The sequence below is a fragment of the Homo sapiens genome, chromosome 7 (genome assembly GCF_000001405.40).
Source record: "Homo sapiens chromosome 7, GRCh38.p14 Primary Assembly".
Lineage (NCBI taxonomy): Eukaryota > Metazoa > Chordata > Mammalia > Primates > Hominidae > Homo > Homo sapiens.
The window spans coordinates 106,138,293-106,157,248 of NC_000007.14; the positions used below are offsets into that span (position 1 = coordinate 106,138,293).

General features: G+C 45.1%; 2 annotated features.

Annotated features, from left to right (window-relative positions):
- Positions 16,940-16,989: a silencer, noted in NCBI's record as "silent region_18530". NCBI's record gives its function as "represses an Ori minimal core promoter by ATAC-STARR-seq in GM12878 lymphoblastoid cells {active_cell/tissue: GM12878}" and the evidence as "EXISTENCE:reporter gene assay evidence [ECO:0000049][PMID:35858748]".
- Positions 17,923-18,072: an enhancer, noted in NCBI's record as "active region_26483". NCBI's record gives its function as "activates an Ori minimal core promoter by ATAC-STARR-seq in GM12878 lymphoblastoid cells {active_cell/tissue: GM12878}" and the evidence as "EXISTENCE:reporter gene assay evidence [ECO:0000049][PMID:35858748]".

The following is an 18,956-nucleotide window of genomic DNA, read 5'->3' on the forward strand; positions in this document are numbered from 1 at the left end:
GCTCATCAATGATAGACTGGATAAAGAAAATGTGGCACATATACACCATGGAATACTATGCAGCCATAAAAAGGAATGAGATCATGTCCTCTGCAGGGACATAGATGGAGCTGGAAGCTGTTATCCTCAGCAAACTAACACAGGAACAGAAAACCAAAGACTGCATGTTCTCACTTATAAGTGGGAGCTGAACAATGAGAACACATGGACACAGGGAGGGGAACAACACACACTGGGGCCTGTGGAGAGGGAGATGAGAGGGGGAAGGAGAGCATCAGGAAGAATAGCTAAAGCATGCTGGGCTTAATACCTAGGTGATAGGTTGACCTGTGCAGCAAACTACCATGGCACACGTTTACCTATGTAAGAGACATGCACATCTTGCATATGTACCCCGGAACTTAAAATAAATATTAAAATTAATTTTAAAAAGCAACAAACAGTTCCTCACCACCTTTAAGAGATGTTTAGCTAGTTTCCTTGCTGATTGAACCTGGCAGAGGTGAGGGGGGAAGTTGGTGAGAAAAGATCTGGGAATGAGACGATTTGTCCAGCCCCATAAAAGGAAATCCCTGGAAGAATTGGAGCAGGTGGGAGAATCTGCATCTCTTTCATCTTCCATCGCTCCCTGGGGAAGCAGTGGGGCGGTGCTTCTCCCAGTCTGCCTTCTGGTTCGCAGGCCTGGAGGCACATTAGAATCACCTGAGGGGGCTTTTAAATCCACCCATGCCTGGGACCCACCCAGAAATCTCCAGGAGTGCAGCTGAGGTAGGGAAGTTTTTAAAAACTCTTCAGGTGACTGTGAAGCAGAGAGCATATCACTGCTCGAGCGTTTCAGAACCAGAAACAAATAAGTGACACAAGTGAAGAGTGAAACTACAACATTTCGGTGAGTTTGGAAGGGAGCAGGCATTGTAGATAGATTTTTAAAGAGGAGAAGTGGGACCCCGAGAGGAGGAGCAATTTGCCTGGGTCAGTGGCAGAGTTGGGGAAGGAGGTAGCCTCGTTTTCTTTTTGGTCCCCTATACCCTTTTTTATTTTCTGGTGGCATATTATAGTATTAATTGTTCTGACGGCTTAGCTTTATATGTACCCAGCCATGAAATTTCCACTCTGTCATTGGGCAACCTCTCCAGTTAGACCTACACACTGTTGTAAAGTGTTTCCTGGCAGGGAAACCCAAGTATTTCGTTTCTAATTCTTAGCTCTTTGCAAGTCTGAGCAGTGGGTCATGAGACTCCCACAACTGTTTAGAAGGAGCCAGGGCCCACTTTTCATGCATTCTGTTCAAAGCATAATCCATGTGCATGCAGTGAAAATGCAAACGTGCGGGTGGCATTCAGACCTAACGCAGTCTCAGCTTTCAATCCTGCTGTGAATCCAGAGTGGCTGTCATGGGATCTACTGCAGTTAATTTTTTCAGAACTCAGAGCTAAATCCCTGAGGAGGCCTGGGCTGGAGAGGCCACCTGAATGGTGGCCTGCTTAAAGGTGCGGTCATGTTTCCTGATTTAACTGGGTCAGTTTGGTTGTTTATTTTTGCCATTTGATTTCAGGGCAGGGTTGGCTTCAGTGTGCTGGCAATTCCCAGATAGTTTATGCTCTGAGGGACTGGGACAGGTGTTCAAGAACCCCCAGTGACTATTATTTAATTTTGTTCCTCCCCCAGCCTCATGGTTTATATATGAGTTGTTATGTGACAGAGTTCTATTTTTAACCACAGACATGCTCTGTTCAACTGGAATCATGTTCTTTAGACACTGCATTATGCAAGCTGGCTCCAAAGTTTGCCAGAAGTGCTAAACTAAACTGTGACAATTCCCAGCCGTAGTCACTGACACCCCCACAGTGAACCAAACAGCATGCTTACTTGCTTCAAGATAGAGTTTCAGTTGTGTTAAATAACTGTCTGGTGCTACCTGATGAGAAAGCCATGTCTGGCTGTTTGGATCAGCTTCTCTGATCTTGTCTCCTGTCTAATCCCAGAATAAATCCTTTGGGTTTTGGGGGAGGACGTTAAAAAGGCTCTGGTGAAGAAGATTAAACCTGAAACAAGTCATAATGAGGCATAAACAAGGTAATACTCATTGTAAGGTATCTTCCCAGGTTCTAAGCAGGAGAGGAGAAAAGATGGTTTCGATGGAGGGCATCTGTTGAGAAACCCCTCTGATGTAGATGTTCCTGTGGAGTCATTTATATCCAAACATTAGGACATTAGACAAGTGCACTGGTGGGTTCTCAGGGTTTTTTATGGGGTGATCATAAAGAAGTGGCTCTCAAGAATTGCATCGAGCCAGGGATCTTCTGACTTCTGAAGACTGACATCTGGCTTATCTAAGATGATCCAGGGAAGGGGCGGAGCTAGAAGTCTCTGCGGGAAGATTGTTAGTATTTGCTGGGATTCTTTGGTGGCAAGCAACAGAAATAAACTCTCAAGAAGGGTTAATCTACTTAGGCAGAAAAGGACTTTTTAGAAAATAAGTTCCATGAGAGCAAGGGCTAGCTTGTTCACTGGTATTTCCTCAATAGAACAGTACCTTGAATATAGTAGGTACTCATTGTCTTAGTCCGCTCAGACTGTTAACAAAATTCCTTAGACTGGGTAATTTATAAACAACACAGATTTATTGCTCCCAGTTCTGGAGTCTGGTATGTTCAAGATCAAGTTGCCAGCAGATTCGGTATCTGATGAGAGCCCGTTCCTCATAGTTAGTGCCTTCTGTGTGTCCTCACATGGCAGAAGGGGCCAGCAGGCTCCCTCACACCTTTTCTATAGGGCACTAATCCCATTCAAGAGGCCTCCTAAAGGTCCCACCTCTTAATACAATCACACTGGGGATTAAGTTCTATAAATTTTAGAGGGACACCAACATTCAGATCATAGCGCTCAGTAAATATTCATGGACTAAAAGAAGTTATAGGGTGGATCAAAGCATTGTTAGGAAGATTGTGAACCAGTTTTGGAAAAAGATAAAGAATGAGAGCATCTCTGGAGAGGCTTAGGTAGCAGGAACTAGGTCCCTGACAGTCTCATCAGGACACCACTGCTGGAATAACTGCTTTCCAAACATTTTTATATTTTTAAGTGTCTACACTCATGCTTCAAAATCCAGACAGAGAGAGTGAGTGTATATTAATCAGGGTTCTCCAGAGAAACAGAACCCTCTATCTCCACCTCTCCCCTTCTCCCCCTCTCCCCCTCTACCTCCCCCTTCTCCCCCTCTCCCCCTCTACCTCCCCCTTCTCCCCCTTCTCCCCCTCTCCCCCTTCTCCCCCTCTCCCCCTTCTCCCCCTCTCCCCCTTCTCCCCTTCTCCCCTTCTCCCCCTCTCCCCCTCTACCTCCCCCTTCTCCCCCTCTCCCCCTTCTCCCCCTCTCCCCCTTCTCCCCCTCTCCCCCTTCTCCCCCTCTCCCCCTCTACCTCCCCCTCTCCCCATGTGTGTAAAAGAAGGAATTGGCTCGTGTGATTGCAGAGGCTGGCAAGTCCAGTCTGGCAGGTTGGAGACCCAAGCAGAACCCATGTTCCTATTTGAAGGCCATCAGACAGGAAGAATTGATGTTGCATATGAAGACAGTCTGCTAGAGAATTATCCTTACTTAGAGGAAAGGTTGGTCTTTTAATTCTATTTAGGCTTCAAGTAGTTGGATGAGGACCATTCACTATGGAGGGCAATCTTCTTGACTGATTAAAATGTGAATCTCTTTCAAAAACACCCTCGCAGAAACACTCAGAATGTTTGACCAAATATGTGGGCACCCTGTGACCCAGTCAAGTTGACACACAAAATTAACTATCAGAGAGGAGAGAGAGAATGCAACTGACCTAGCTTAAGTTGTGTGCCCACCCCTTTGGCTGGTAGAAGGCAGGGTATTTTGTCAGTTCTAGAGATTTTGAACCATGGGGCAGAACTGATTTCCTAAAGGGAAAGTGGAGAGCTGTTACCAGGAGAAGGAGAATAAATAGTGGGAAGCTACAAAACAACTGGCTCTTCTTGAATGATGGTTTTATTTTTCTTATTTTGTTACTTGCTTCCATGTGAGTAAACATTAAAACACATCTGTGCTGCTTTGCTTGACTTCTTCCAGCTCCTTTATACAAGAGGAAGAACAGCTGGGAGGGAGAAAAATATTTTTTTTCCTTTCTCTCTTCACTTCCAGTCCTCAGTAGAGGTGACTGACGGGTGATGGTTACCTCTGAGTCCTTGCTTTTGGGGGTCTGTGCTAATGATTGAACACTCAAATGCTGCCTCACTCTGAAGAGGTCCTTCAACACTGTAAAAGGCATTCACAAGACATCCCTGCCCCGGAAGAGTTTGAATCTGTTGGACTTTGTGCATTTTTCTTCTTTTCTATCCTTCACCTACTAGTTGTGGCTACTACAAACCCATATAGTTCTTCTGGAATTAAGGAGACACACTTCCCTCAAAGTGCTTTACATCTATTGGTCAGAGATGGTCATAATGTACTGAGTTTGTTAGAATGACGCGTTGCTATGTACCAGGAAGTTATCACAGGGCATATAAGTCTACCATGTCTACAGTGTGAAGGATGCCTCGTTAGACGCAGCACTCTTGTGCAATGTACAATCTGTCTACTTTATATGGCAGGCCTGAACTACTGAGGGAGAGAGAGACCACCAGAAATCGGGAAAGCACAACTTAATTAATGCTCTTATGAATGGTGTGTGCTGGGGGGTGGTTGTAGTTCCCTTTGTGTTCTGACCAATAGCTGAACCACTGATCAGATTCAAGACAGAACCTTGAATCCAAAACTCCTTTAGTGTGGCAAGTCCACCATAGTTCCTGAGGAAGCTGCCTTCGAGGAATCGGGGACCACTGCTCTCTTTTTAGGGGAATCCCTGAGATACCTGCATATCTCAGACCCGACAAGCAGGGAGTGGCAATGGGCATATTGCTATTCCAGGATACAACTGCTGTGAGATCCTCTTCAGAGGTTTATAAGCCTGACTTCTCATTAGCACGTTAGATATAAGGCATGACTCATTGCCAAATCTACAGACCCATGATAGGGTAGACAAGATCAATAGTCTAAAATGAAAACAGATTTTAAAATGAACAGAAATTTAATGCTTTTTCCCGTATGCCAATGGATTACATGGTACACATCCTGGGGTAGGCATAGCCCACTTTGTAGACCACTGATCTAGAGCCTGGTACTCCCCTTACAAAACCTGTGCAGGCAGGGCTAATTGACTCAACACCGTGGGCCTGGAGACATCCTCACCCTCCATTACAACAAGTGGACATGTGGTTTCTAGGCCAAGAGTTGGCAAATTACAGCCCATTGGCCATACCTGGCCAGCCCCCTGTTTCTACAAAGTGTTTTTGAGACACAGCCACACTCACTTGGTTATGTATTGTCCATACCTTTTTTCACACTATAAAGGCAGAGCTGAGTAATTGCCATGGAGAGCAGATGGTCCACAAAACCTCAAATACTACCCGACCTTTACAGCAAAAGGTTGCCCGAACCCTGCTCCAGACAGGCAGTATTGATCCCTGTGTGTTGGTAATAAAAGGTAAGACTTGTCTGCTGCCTCTGCTCTGGAGTTAGGCCAGAGTTTGCCGCATAGCTCCTTGTGTTAATGAGGCTCAGCTTGGCCTTGCCTTCTGGGGATTAGCACCTAATCCCGGCTAGCTTTCTTAGAAAGCTCATTCACTGGTCACAAGGATGCAGAGAAGTGAGTGTGGATGAAACTGGTCCTGGTCACCTGAAGTCCATGCCTTACACGGCGTGGGTCAGCTGTGTCCTCTCTGCTAGCTGGCCCCTCTGCTACCTACCTCTAGGTGATGTGCCTGCTACTCAGCACAAGTGACAGAGCAGCCACAGGCCTCCCCCACTGCAGGGCTGCACAGCTGCTGCACATCCCCAAGGGGGCGGGGCGAATGCATGCTGAAATGTTTGTGTGCACATGTGAGTACATTGGTTAGGACTATCCCCAACTCCAGCTAATGCAAGCCTGGTAGACACATGCGTTTTTGCATATCCATGCACCCTTCTTTTGGGAACTGCCGCTAGATGAAAATCCAAATATTTAATTCCTAGCAATTAGTTTGGGCTTGAGTGGTATTCATTTTTATTCAGAACTCAGGTCCTAGGCCTTATTCAGATTTCAGTCCCACGTGACAAACTTCCACAGTTCCTCTGAGATGTCCTGATTCTCACTGGTGAGAATGGCAGAGACTGCTGGTTCCTTACCTAACAGCCATCTACCCTACAAGCCCTGATTTTGAGACAGTCTCTGCCACCTAGGCTGGAGTGCAACCTCCACCTCCTGGGTTCAAGTGATTCTCCTGCCTCAGCTTCCCAAGTAGCTGGGACTACAAGTGCATGCCACCATGCCCGGCTAATTTTTTGTATTTTTGGTAGAGACAGGGTTTTGCTATGTTGGTCAGGCTGGTCTAGAACTCCTGGCCTCAGGTGATCTGCCCACCTTGGCCTCCCAAAGTGCTGGGATTACAGGCATGAGCCACCGCACCTGGCCCCTATAAGCCCTGATTTTATTGGAAACGTGTCCTTTAGTGAATTGTGCATCTGGAACAGAGACAGACATGTTGTGCTTCATTTGTACTTTATCATTTTTGTCCTTGGTGCAAAGGTATTACACCCTAATGCTGGCTCTTTGGGGCCATGAAAATTGCAGAAGTCACGGCTCTTCCCACTTCAGTCACTGAGCCAACACCAGTACTCACCTACTTCAAAATTTATCTTCCCATGAGAGGAAAGGAAAACCCCACCTTGTTTTTGGTTTGAACACAACTGCATCAAATTCCTTACTGATGACTGAAAAAATTAAGGAAAAGCTCAGAGTGAACAAGAAGTAGATCAGCTTTCCTTACAGATGCACAAAATTACACAGCAGGCCTGGGTTTTTTTTTTTTTTTAAACTTTGGAGTAGGGTCTTCTGTCCCCACAGCTGGAGTGCAGTAATGTGATCATAGCTTAATGCATCCTTGACTTCGTGGGCTTAAGCAATCCTCCACTTCAGCCTCCCAAGTAGCTGGGACTACAGGCTTGGGCCATCGTACCCGGCCTAAGCCTGGGTTTGAGGTCTAGATTTATCATTCTCTCATCCTGTGCCCCAGAGCCAGTCACTTTCTCTTAAAATTCTCGGTGTCAAGGCAAGACCACTGCGCTCTGAGGCCCCCTTGATCTCTAGGGCATTAAAATATATGGGAGATTTCCACCCTTCCTCACGGGGCTTGCAGGCTGAGGGAGTGAGAATTTCCTCACCAGCAGCATGGGCAAATTCGTAAAAAGAAAGAAATAATTTGCTTGTTTTTAATGGCCACCAAACTTCAAAGTCTAGTGACCACCAACCAGTCCCTCCTCAGTGAACATGGTCGAATACAGAAAGGCTTTCTCTGGAAGAGCCCAGAAACCTGCTGTCTCATTTCAAAAGCCATCTTCCTTCCCCGAGACAAACATGGTGGAAAGGAGGCCCGCCTGATAACACTGAGGGTTTTGGGGCCAGATTTTTTTCTGCAGGCAGTTTTGGACATTTATTTTAATCTTCTTTATGTGAGCTATAAAACACATTTAGAAAAGTATATATTAGCTGGTTGTAGTGGCTCATACCTGTAATCCCAGAACTTTGTGGGGGCTGAGGCAGGATGATCATTTGAGCTCAGGAGTTCACGTAGTGAGACCCCATCTCAACAAAACATCAAAACGTTAGCCAGGTGTGGTGGCACGCACCTGTAGTCCCAGCTACTCAGGAGGCTGAGATGGGAGGATCACCTTAGCCTGGGGAGGTTGAGGCTGCAGTGAACTGAGACTGTGCCCCTGCACTCCAGCCTGGGTGACAGAGTGAGACCCTGTCTCAAAAGAAAAGAAAAAATATATTAAACATAATGAACAGTTAATGTTTTTTAAAATAAAGTAAACCCTTTATTAGGTCAAGAAACAGAAGTTTGTGAGACCCCTGGAGCCCTCCTGCCTATCCCTTCTCAATTGCAGTCCCCTCATTTAATGGTAACCACTGCCTCGATTTTTTTTTTTTTTTTGGGATGGAGTTTTGCTCTTGTCACCCAGGCTGGAGTGCAATGGTGTGATCTCGGCTCACTGCAACCTCTGCCTCCCAGGTTCAAGTGATTCTCCTGCCTCAGCCTCCTGAGTAGCTGAGATTACAGGCACCCGCCACCACGCCTGGCTAATTTTTTGTATTTTTAGTAGAGGCGGGGTTTCAACACGTTGGTCAGGCTGATCTTGAACTACTGACCTCAGGTGATCCACCTGCCTCAGCCTCCCAAAGTGCTGGGATTACAGGTGTGAGCCACCGTGACTGGCCCCCCATTGCCTCTACTTTTATGGTCATTGATGTCTTTGATTTTCTTTAAAATTTTACTACAGACATATATGTCCATGGCCACTATTATTTGATTATACCTGCTATTGAAATTTATAGAAATGGGTCCATACAGGATGTGTTCTTCATATCTGGCTTCATTCACCAACATGATGTTTATGAGATTCATTCTGGTTTTTGCACATAGCTGTAGCTTATTCTGTCATTGTCATGTAGCATTTTATTGCATCAATAGGTTTTCACAAATTCATATCATTGCACATACTTACTTGTTACCAATTTGGGGATTTCATGATAGATCTGCTCTGAGTGTTCTTGTCCCTGCCTCCCTGTGCATATTTCAGTAGGTTGTCCCCCTGCAGTAGAATTGCTGGGTTGTGGGGTATGTTCTGTTGGCTTTGCTAGGTGATGCCAAAGTGATTCTGTGGATTTATACTCCCAGCAACTGTACATGAGAGGTCTCCATGCCCCACATCTTTGTCAACACTGGAGAATGCTATTCTGTAAAGTTAGCTACTCTGGGTGGTGTGCACGGCTATATCTGTGTGTGTGAGTGTGTGTTTGTGTGTGTGTGTGTGTGTGTGAGAGAGAGACAGATTTTCTAACCTAATTTTCATTATTGCATTAGCCTAATTTTTATTAAAAATTTCTTTTTTTTTTTGAGATATGGTCTCTATTGCCCAGGCCGGAGTGCAGTGGCACAATACCAGCTTAACTGGGCTCAAGCAATCCTCCAACCTCAGCCTCCTGAATAGCTAAGACTAAAGGCACATGCCACCATGCCCAACTAATTTTTTGTTTGTTTGTTTTTTTGAGATGGAGTCTTGCACTGTCGCCCAGGCTGGAGTGCAGTGGTGCGATCTTGGCTCACTGCAACCTCTGCCTCCTGGGTTCAAGAGATGTTCTGCATTTGTCTGATGTTTTCTCATGGTGTCTCACTCGTTCTTCTCTATAAGCTGGGAGTTGGGTCTAAAGGCTTCTTTAGATAAATCTCAGTGTGGCTTTAATGTGCATCTGTTGGATTTGTTTTTTTTCTTTTTCTTTTTTTTTTTTGAGATGGAGTTTTGTTCTTGTCGCCCAGGTTGGAGTGCAATGGTGTGATCTCAGCTCACTGCAGTCTCTGCCTCCTGGGTTCAAGTGATTCTCCTGCCTCAGCCTCCTGAGCAGCTGGGATTACAGGTGGCTGCCACCATGCCCAGCTAATTTTTGTATTTTTAGTAGAGATGGGGTTTCACTGTGTTGGCCAGGCTGGACTTGAACTCATGAAGTCGTGATCCACCTGCCTTGGCCTCCCAGAGTGCTAGAATTACAGGCGTGAGCCACCACGCCCAGCCCCATCTGTTGGATTTGTAATGAGATTGAGCACCTTTTCATGCATTTTCTGGCCATTTGGAATTCTTCTCTCTTGAGGTGCCTGCTCAAGTCTCTTGCCTATTGTTCTGTTTGCTATGTGTCTTTTTCCTGTTGATTTGCAGGAGTTCTTTATCTTATACATGTGTTGAAAATGGCTTGTCCCACTCTGTGGTTTGCCTTTTTACTTTTTTTTTTTTTTTTTAATTTCACTCCTGTCACCCAGGCTGGAGTGCAGTGGCATGCTCTCAGCTCATTACAACCTCCATCTCCTGGGCTCAAGCGATCCTCCTGCCTCAGCCTCTGGAGTAGCTGGAACTACGGGTGTGTGCCACCACACCTGGCTCATTTTTGTATTTTTAGTAGAGATGGAGTTTTGCCACATTGACCAGGCTGGTCTTGAACTCCTGGCCTCAGGTGATCCACCTGCCTTGGCCTCCCAAACTGCTGGGATTAGAGGTGTGAGCCACTACACCTGATCTGCCTTTTTATTTTTGTAAGGGTATCTTTTGGTGAGCAGAAGTTTTAAATTTTAATGTCCAATTCATCAATATTTCTGTAACCTGTTGAAAAAATATTCCCTAACCTGGGGTCACAAAGATGATTATAGATGATCTCCCTGATCGCCTTCCATAACTGGGTCTAAGATCCTCCTGGAAGTGTTGTTTGTGCATGGTGTGAGGTGGACGCCAGGTTTCATTTCCTCCCGTAACGACATTAAGAACATGGTCCTTTCCCTAGCCCTCTGCAGTGCTCCCTTCCTTGTAACCTGAGGGTCCCTGTGTGCATGGGTCTGTTTTGGAGATCTCCATTCTATCCATTGGTCTATTTTTCTAAATTTTTATACCAATGCATACTTTCTTAGCTGCCATAGGTTTATAATAAGTCTTGATGCCTACCTATGTAAGCTCTCCCTCTGAATTACTTTAATGATGCTGTGGCTAGGATTTTGACATTTCACAGGAGACTTGGCTCAAACCTCATGCCCCTTTTTTGAGATAGGATTATGGGGTTACTATTCTTTCCTGGGCTGTGATCTCAGAAGTAACTTACTCAGTTTTCCAGTTGGTCCTTTCCAGGGACTCTTCTCACTTGTGTCTTATTAAATAAAGATTTGATTTGAGACCATGGAAGTCCAGTGTTCGGAATGCCTGTATCTGTTATGTTCTACTTTTTGGGACAGGTGGACATAAAGGAACTGAATCTGAAATAGGTGGTAAGGAAAATCCCCTGAAATTTGAAAATGGGTGCCTGAGAGGTGATTTTGATCTCTCCTTTGGCAGCTGCACGCTGTAGAGAGAATGAACTCTAGAGTCAGGTTTTTGGGCTCAATTCCTGGATACACCAGTTACTAGCCCTATGACCTTGGGGACATTGATTAACCATCCTGGCCTCAGTTTCCTCATCAGTAAAATGGGAATAGAAACAGACTCTACCTCATGGGTGTTTGTGAGGATTAAATGCGATTATATACAAAAAGGGCCTGGCACAGAATAAGTGCTTGGTAAAGCTTAGCCATGATTATTTTTGTTGAAAAGAATTCATCTTTCCTCCAAGGGCTTTGAGACTAACCTAGGAGGTAGCAAAACCTATTCCTCTTGTGTTTCTGAGGTGCAGAGGCTATACTTGTTGGAGACTCGGCACAGGCCATGATGATGGTCTGAACATTACCACCTGCCCCTCAGCACTCAGAAAAGCAGTTAGTTTGTGGCTGTTGACCTGAGGCAAAATTGATACAAATAGAGTTTATTTGGGCCAAATTTGAGGATTGCAGCCAGGAGCACAGATTCAAGTTGCCTTGAATATGCATTCCAATTAGCAGCAGTTACAAGCGGATTTTTTTTTTCCTGAGATTACAAGTGGTTTTTTTTTTTTTTTTTTTTTTTTTTTTTTTTTTTTTTGAGACAGGGTCTCACTGTGTTGCCTAGGTTGGCCTGCAGTGGGATGATCACAGCTCACTGCAGCCTCCACATCCAGGGCTCAAGTAATCCTCCTGCCCCAGCTTCCCGAGTAGCTCAGACTACAGGTGCGCGCTACCACGCCTGGCTTATTTTTTGTAGAGATAAAATTTTGCTATGTTGTCCAGGCTGGTCTCGAATTCCTGGGCTCAAGCAATCCTCCCGCTTCAGCCTCCCAAAGTTCTGGAATTACAGGTGTGAGCCACCTTACCTGGCCACAAGTGGATTTTTAAAGGCAAGAAAAGGGGTATGGGAAATGGGCTGACACAAAATTGTTTGTCAGAAATTCTCATGGGTTTACAGAAATATCGATTAGTGAATGGCTATCTATTGTTAAGCTATAGGGTGTGGATTCTAGTGTGGGGTGTGGCATTATTAGGTTAATTTATAGCTAAATGTGGAAAGAGCAAATAGTCTCAAGAGATGAATACGTAGCTCAAAGTGGGGAGTAGGGCATGATTGTAGTCTCATTTTAATGTCTCTCTGGGCCTGATAATTAAAAGGACTTGCATTCCTCAGATAAAAGCTCTTTTTTCTGCCCCTGGCTAATAGTTATCTAATATACTCGACTCCTTTAGTTCTTTGAACCTTACGTTTTGGAGGTCATAGAAGTTACAGAGGGCAGGAGTCAGAGGCACGGGCCGGGCCCTGTTCTGTGCTTGACCACCTTGCTGCTGTGGTAGGGCATTCACCACTCTTCCCATCTCTCCTGGTCCTTGGCCCTTCATCGCTGGAGGTGGAGTTGTTACAGAGGCCAAATATGGGGAGAAACCGTTTACATTCGGTTTTCTGGGGAGCCAAAATGAAAGACCCCAGTGGAGTGGAGCAATGAGTTTACACCTTTAGTAGACTGGAAAGAAACTAAAAAGGGAGATGTCTCCTCAGTGCACTGGAAGAGGGTGAAGGGCGATGCAATCTTGGGAAAGCTGGGGGCTGGGGTGGGTGAACTGCATTGGATGGTCCGTGTCGGGCAGAATCATCGGCATGCTCAGCCCACCATTGTCCCAAGCCAAGCCAGTTGGTACTGGTGCAGAGAAGTAGCTTCAGCTTCTGGTCTCAAAGCCATCCTCTGAAGGATGCCACCACCTCTCAAGCCCTTTTAGAAATGGAGATGGACTGGTGGTGGCATGGGAGGGCAGACCTAAGTCTGGTATGTCAGTGGAGCCAGACAGAAGGGCAGGCAACTCTAGTTACATTAAAATAGCAATGTATTGTTGACGGGTTGGAATTGCACACTTACAATCACACTATTCTATCTATAGTATTATCCCATTTAATGATAAATATGTATTTGTATATATGTATATCCGAAAAGATCTGGAAGGTTATTTCTGCAGCTTTAAAAAGAAATTGTCTTTGGGTGGAATTATTAGCACTTTTGATGTTCCTCTATTTTTTTTTGTATTTGTACTATGTATCTGCATAACTTTCTGGTTAAATGAGTTTATGTTTACAATTTAAATAAAAAGAGAAGGAGCATCATTTGGCTGCACCTCCCTCAACTTCAGATGTAACTTGTGGGGGTGGAGGACAGGGCAGGGAGGCCAGCTGGGGTGTTCCTCCTAGAGTTGGCGTTGATGGTAGGGCCTCACTCTGTTCCCTACACAGGTTGGTCACTGCCCAGCCTCTAAGATGCGAAGCTCTCTCCAGACCCTCTGGCCCCCTTACTCTAAGGTTCTAATGTTATTTCTGTTTCAATATGGGGAAGAGAAACAAAAACAGATGCTGCCTATCTCGATCAGGGAAAGGCAAGAGGGTGTCTTTCTTCCATCTGGGTTTTCTCTGTGACTGTTAACTGGATGCTTACAATGCATGGGGCAGGGTAACCTCCTGCCACTTATAGTGGTGGGGGTTGATGTCAGTGACTTAAGAAAATTAGGGAATAAATGTTTCAGTTATTTTCTCCAGTAACAGAAGGAGGGAGGAGTTGAGGCAGGTATGGTGGCTCCAAAAGGTTACTGGTGTCAACCCCTCCTGTGTATGCCTGCCACTCCTGTGGGTGGCTGTCAGCACTGAGCTCACAAGATGACTGCTGGACCATCCCTGCTGTGGCCGTGTCCCTGTTTCAGTCAGGATCGGACAGGGACAGGGGCAGATGCACCTCCCAAAAGGCCTCATCCCCAGGCTCGCCGGCATATTTAGTGACATTAATCTGTGCAAGAGGCTTGGAATGCAGTTTTTTGTTGTTGTTTCTTTTTAAACAAACATACTGTCCAAAGTTCTCTCACTAAGGAAGGAGGAAGAATAGACTTTGAGCAGGCAACAAGTACTGTCACATAGTCCAAAAGCTCTGATTCTCACAGAAAAGTCCATAATCTTTAAGTGCTGCAGAGATTTCAGGATCAAGGTAAATTTGTAAAAAGTTGGGAAACCAAAGGTATTATACAGTCCCATGGGAAGAGTTTGCTCAACAAGACGGTTCTTTTGCTGTAGTTGGTGAGCCAGGTTCTTGCTCCACGTTCACCCTCAGGGCTTGGTGGGGTTGGGGTTAGCCTGCTCTGCAGCTAGGCTGGCACCTGTCAGTACCTGGGTGATTGTTCCAACACAGACGGTACGTAGGAAGCTGGCACAAGAGCTGACGGTTCTTGTTTGTCATCCCCTATATTTCCTTGTGTCCCCACTCAGTTGGGCCTGCCTGCATTCTTTTGACAGTCGCTAAAGTCACAGACATACTTGACCTTGCAGTTTTTAGAGGGGACCTGTCACCTTTCAATAAACAAGAGGGAAGATCTTTGAGCAGTGAGTTCCAGAGACCCTGTTAAAAAGAAAAACCTTAGACAAGTTTAGCAGAGTTTAAGTGAGAAAAAAACAAAAACTCAGAAAACAAAAACACATGACATGTGAATCAGGCAGCCCTCTGATTCAGAACGGGTTCTAAGAACATGGTCAACAATGTGATCAAGTGTTATGGATGCACGGAAAACAGAAGTGAGGTACATATAGGGCTTAACTGGTTCCGGCTCAGCGTTTGCCTTATTTGATCGTTGGCAGCCAGGGATTGAAGGAAGCTCAGTTGCCGTGATGGCGGAGACTCAGCTATTTTTTACAAAAGCATACTCCTAAATTTAGGCTTTCAATTAGATTAGTAAGCCAGGCTGCCTGCAGTTAGTTAAGTAAGGACTTGGGTGCAAAGGCTTCCTCAGGCCAAATTTAGGTTATTTTAACATCCCCAATGGCCAGAGACAGGCTTCTTGGAAGCCAACTGCTTGGAGTAAAACTGTGATGACAATTCCTTTTGAAACATGTACTCCTTGAAATTTGGAAGACATTTTGGGCTAATAGATGTTCTCTGTGCCTGAAAATAAGGATGGCTTCTTCCAAAATGCAGGTGAGTCAGCCCTTCCCTGCAAAGAACTTGCTGACTGCTGCAATTAGGGGCAGTCCACAAAAGAAAAACCATAAGGCTGCATCAAAGCACTGGCTCCTCTCTCAGAGAACAGAGGAGAAGCTGCCCCTCAGAGGAAGGAAGGTGGCTTTCCAGGAGGCAGATGCTGAGTCAGGAGGAAGGTTGCTTCAGGATGTTATGTTAAAACAAAACAAAAAACAGACCAGGTGCCCTGGCTGACGCCTGTAATCCCAGCACTTTGGGAGGTCAACGCGGGCGGATCACTTGAGGTCAGGAGTTGAAGACCAGAGTGGCCAACGTGGTGAAACCCCGTCCCTACTAAAAATACAAAAATTAGCTGGGTGTGGTGGTGCATGCCTGTAATCCCAACTACTCGGGAGGCTGAGGCAGGAGAATCGCTTGAACCCGGGAGGCAGAGGTTGCAGTAAACTGAGATCGTGCCACTGCAATCCAGCGTGGGCGACAGAGAGAGACTCCGTTTCAAAACCAACCAACCAACCAAAAAAACAAGGCTGACCCCCACCCCCAGCAGAGGCTGAACTTAGAACAAGTACAGATCCCATCAGAACTATGATCTCTTTCAGATCAAAGAGGCTCATGGTACATTCTAGCTTTTCTTGTTCTCTGATTCTAGACATTTTCTGCCTTGAAATAGGAGATTTCCTGGGGTGCGCCCGCCCGCCTTGCCTCATCTCTCAAATACATTCCTGGGAGCAAGGAGCCCTGCAGCAGGCAGCTGCCCAGCGCTCAGCCCTCTGCTGCTCTCTGCTGGAATGTCGCTGCCAACACCACTAGTGCTTATCCTCAAAGCTTTGGCCAATTCCTGGTACTTCTTTTTGGCCTGTTAACAGAGAGAAGCTGACAAGCAAATTACAGACCTTTGTGACTTAGAACTGAATGCTAAGTAAAATCAATGCTCCGTTAACACAGAATGAGCAACATGACTGTTAAAAAAGCAATGATAGGGTCGGGCGCAGTGGTTCACGCCTGTAATCCCAGCACTTTGGGAGGCCAAGGCAGGTGGATCACGAGGTCAGAAGATCCAGACCATCCCGGCCAACATGGTGAAATCCCGTCTCTACTAAAAAAAAAAAAAAATTGCCAGGTGTGGTGGCGCGCTCCTGTAGTCCCAGCTACTCTGGAGGCGGAGGCAGGGGAATTGCTTGAACCCAGGAGGGGAGGTTGCAGTGAGCTGAGATGGTGCCACTGCAGCTTGGCGACAGAGCGAGACTCTGTCTCAGAAAAGAAAAAAAAAAAAAAAGGCAATGATAGAGACATCAGTTGCTTTTTAACTTAATTACCAGACAAGAAAGACCGTAAATTTCTTGTACTTAACAAGAAATGCTTCTCAATGGCCATATTGTGCAAAATATTGTGCGCATACTAAAAGGGACACATGAAACAAGTTATGTACTCTCTGCTTGCAGGAGTTTATAATCATATAACTCAGAAGGAGGGGAAGTCATTACAAAATGAGACAGATCCAGATATATCCCATGAGAGAGCACCAGATAGTGATAGGCTCACATTCAGCTAGAGATCAGGGAGGTTGTGGAAAAGCAGCCGATGCAGCCAGGCTGCTGAGGAGGTGCAACATTTTGGGGAGAGGACAAGAGGGATGAGGTCTCAGCAGGAGGGAAGAATGCTGTGTATATGTAAGTGTGTGTGTATAAAGAACTGTGTATCTGTGCCCATATGTTTGGAAAGAGTGTTGTCAGGTTGCCTTGGGTTCCTTAGAGTCTAATTCAAAAAGCTATTGAATACTTCAGGTAGGGTTGGACCAGTAAAGACTGAGCAGTGAGATAATATTTTGAGATAGGAATAACTGCCCCCTTCTGACTGTTTAACAAAACCCTTTTTACTATGAAATAAAACCAGCTATAGAAAACCACACAAAAGACAAGTATAGCTTAATGATTGCAACGTGGACACCCAAACACAGCAGCCTCCCACACCCGTAAGTAACCACCGTTCTGACTTTTATAGCAATTACTTATTTGCATTTCTTTCTAGTTTGTCATCTAAATGTGTAGCCATAGACACTGTAGTTTAATATTGTTCCTCCTTTTGAATATTGTCATGTGTCCTCAAGTTATTTTTAATTTACGTGTTCCCCTCCATCTTTTCCTTTCCCTTTAAATGTATGGGCTTAAGAATCTGGGCCACTTGACCTGTGATCTGGATCTTAGATTGCGTGTACGTGGTCATCTCTCATGTTCCTCTGACCTTTGTGATCCTGCAGATGGGCAGCTGGATCCAGAGGCTGGCTCACCTTCAGGCTTGAGCCCTTGGTAAGATGCTAGGTGGTGAGGCTTCTTTCATCTCGTAATCTCTCTTTTATGTGCATGATGTTAGCAGCCATCGATTCTCAATGTCTACGTGGACTAACTCATTGGCCGTTGCAAAACGGTGATATTCGGAAACAATAATCTCTTTGTTGTTTCATTTGTTAGTTAGAATACATCTATAAGGAGAAGCTTTGCCATGGCAGCAGTTCTTTAGAAAAAGGTAATTCTAAGCATCTTGTGTAGTTTTGGATAGTCACATCCTCCTAAGGCTGAGCCCTTAGTAATTGGCTCTCTCAGAATCTTGCAGAGGCCAAACTGGCCCCAGGAATAGTGGCCCAGAACTACTGGCCACTGGCCACTTGTGGACGTAATCAGAGGACCCCTACCCCACCTGCCACTCTTCCAGTGACCTACTCCTCATGGGGTGGGATAGCTGTTTCTGTCCATATGGAAGATTAAACACTCTAAATTATCTTCCACTGGAAAACTGGAAGCAAAATGCTAGACAAAACAACATATTTAAAACATGTAATGCTGAGCTTCTTTGAAAGAAATCTGGAGAGGTCAAAAAACAAGAAGGAAGCAGGAATTCTGTGAAGTAATACCGAGGGTTTCCGCTACAGACAGGAGACTTTCAGCTTCCTTTTTGATAGTTGCAGGGGAGATCAGAGGGTAGACGATGAGGCTAGGGCTTGCCCAAGGAGTGAGTCTTTGTTAGGAGACTCTTCTGCCTAAGGATGAGAACCCAACAGGCTACAATCTGATGGCAGGAGTGAGCAAGAAATAAACCTAATACGCTGAAGAGGATAGTAAGGAGAATTGCCTGTTTCAACCTTGACACCGGACGAGAGGGAATAAAAATATCTCCCATGAGAATTTGTAATGACAAGCTGGCTCTCTCAGAGTTGTGGTCCAAATTTACGTAACCTATGTGGTAAAAAACAAAACCTCAAACAGATAATTACATTTAGAATGGTTCTGGGTTGAGACTGGGTGCAGTGGCTCATGCCTGTAATCCCAGCACTTTGGGAGGCTGAGGTGGGCAGATCACCTGAGATCAGGAGTTCAAGACCAGCCTGGCTAACATGGCGAAACCCTGTCTCTACTAAAAATACAAAAATTAGCTGGGTGTGGTGGCGCATGCCTGCGAGCCCAGCTACTTGGGAGACAGGTAGGATAATTGGTTGAACTCAGGAGATGGAGGTTGCAGTGAGCCGAGATTGCACCGCTGCACTCCAGCCTGGGAGAAGGAGCAAGACTTCATCTCAAATTAAAAAAAAAAAAAAAAGGGAATGCTTCTGGGTTGATAGTGTCCCCAGAAAAATGGCAGAAGCAAACATAAAAACTTCCTGGAGGATTGCAATCTGAACGACAGCTTCAGAGATTTCCTATGGTGAATTTCTTTACTTTTAAGTAAGTGAGCATTTCAAGGTCAAAAATCTTAAAAAGAAAAGGGAAATGAGGCACCTGACTGAAGGCCAGTTGGAAAAACTGATATCCAAAACAGGCTCTAAAGACTATGAGTATTAAAATCATCAGATGCAAAGTATACAATAGTTATATGTAATATATCTAAATAAATAAAAGCAACTTGAAAATATGATTGGAAAAGAGACTGTAAGGCATCACAAAGCAAATCTGCAAAAGAAATAAAATTTCTAACAATAAAAAATCAGTAATTGAAAATA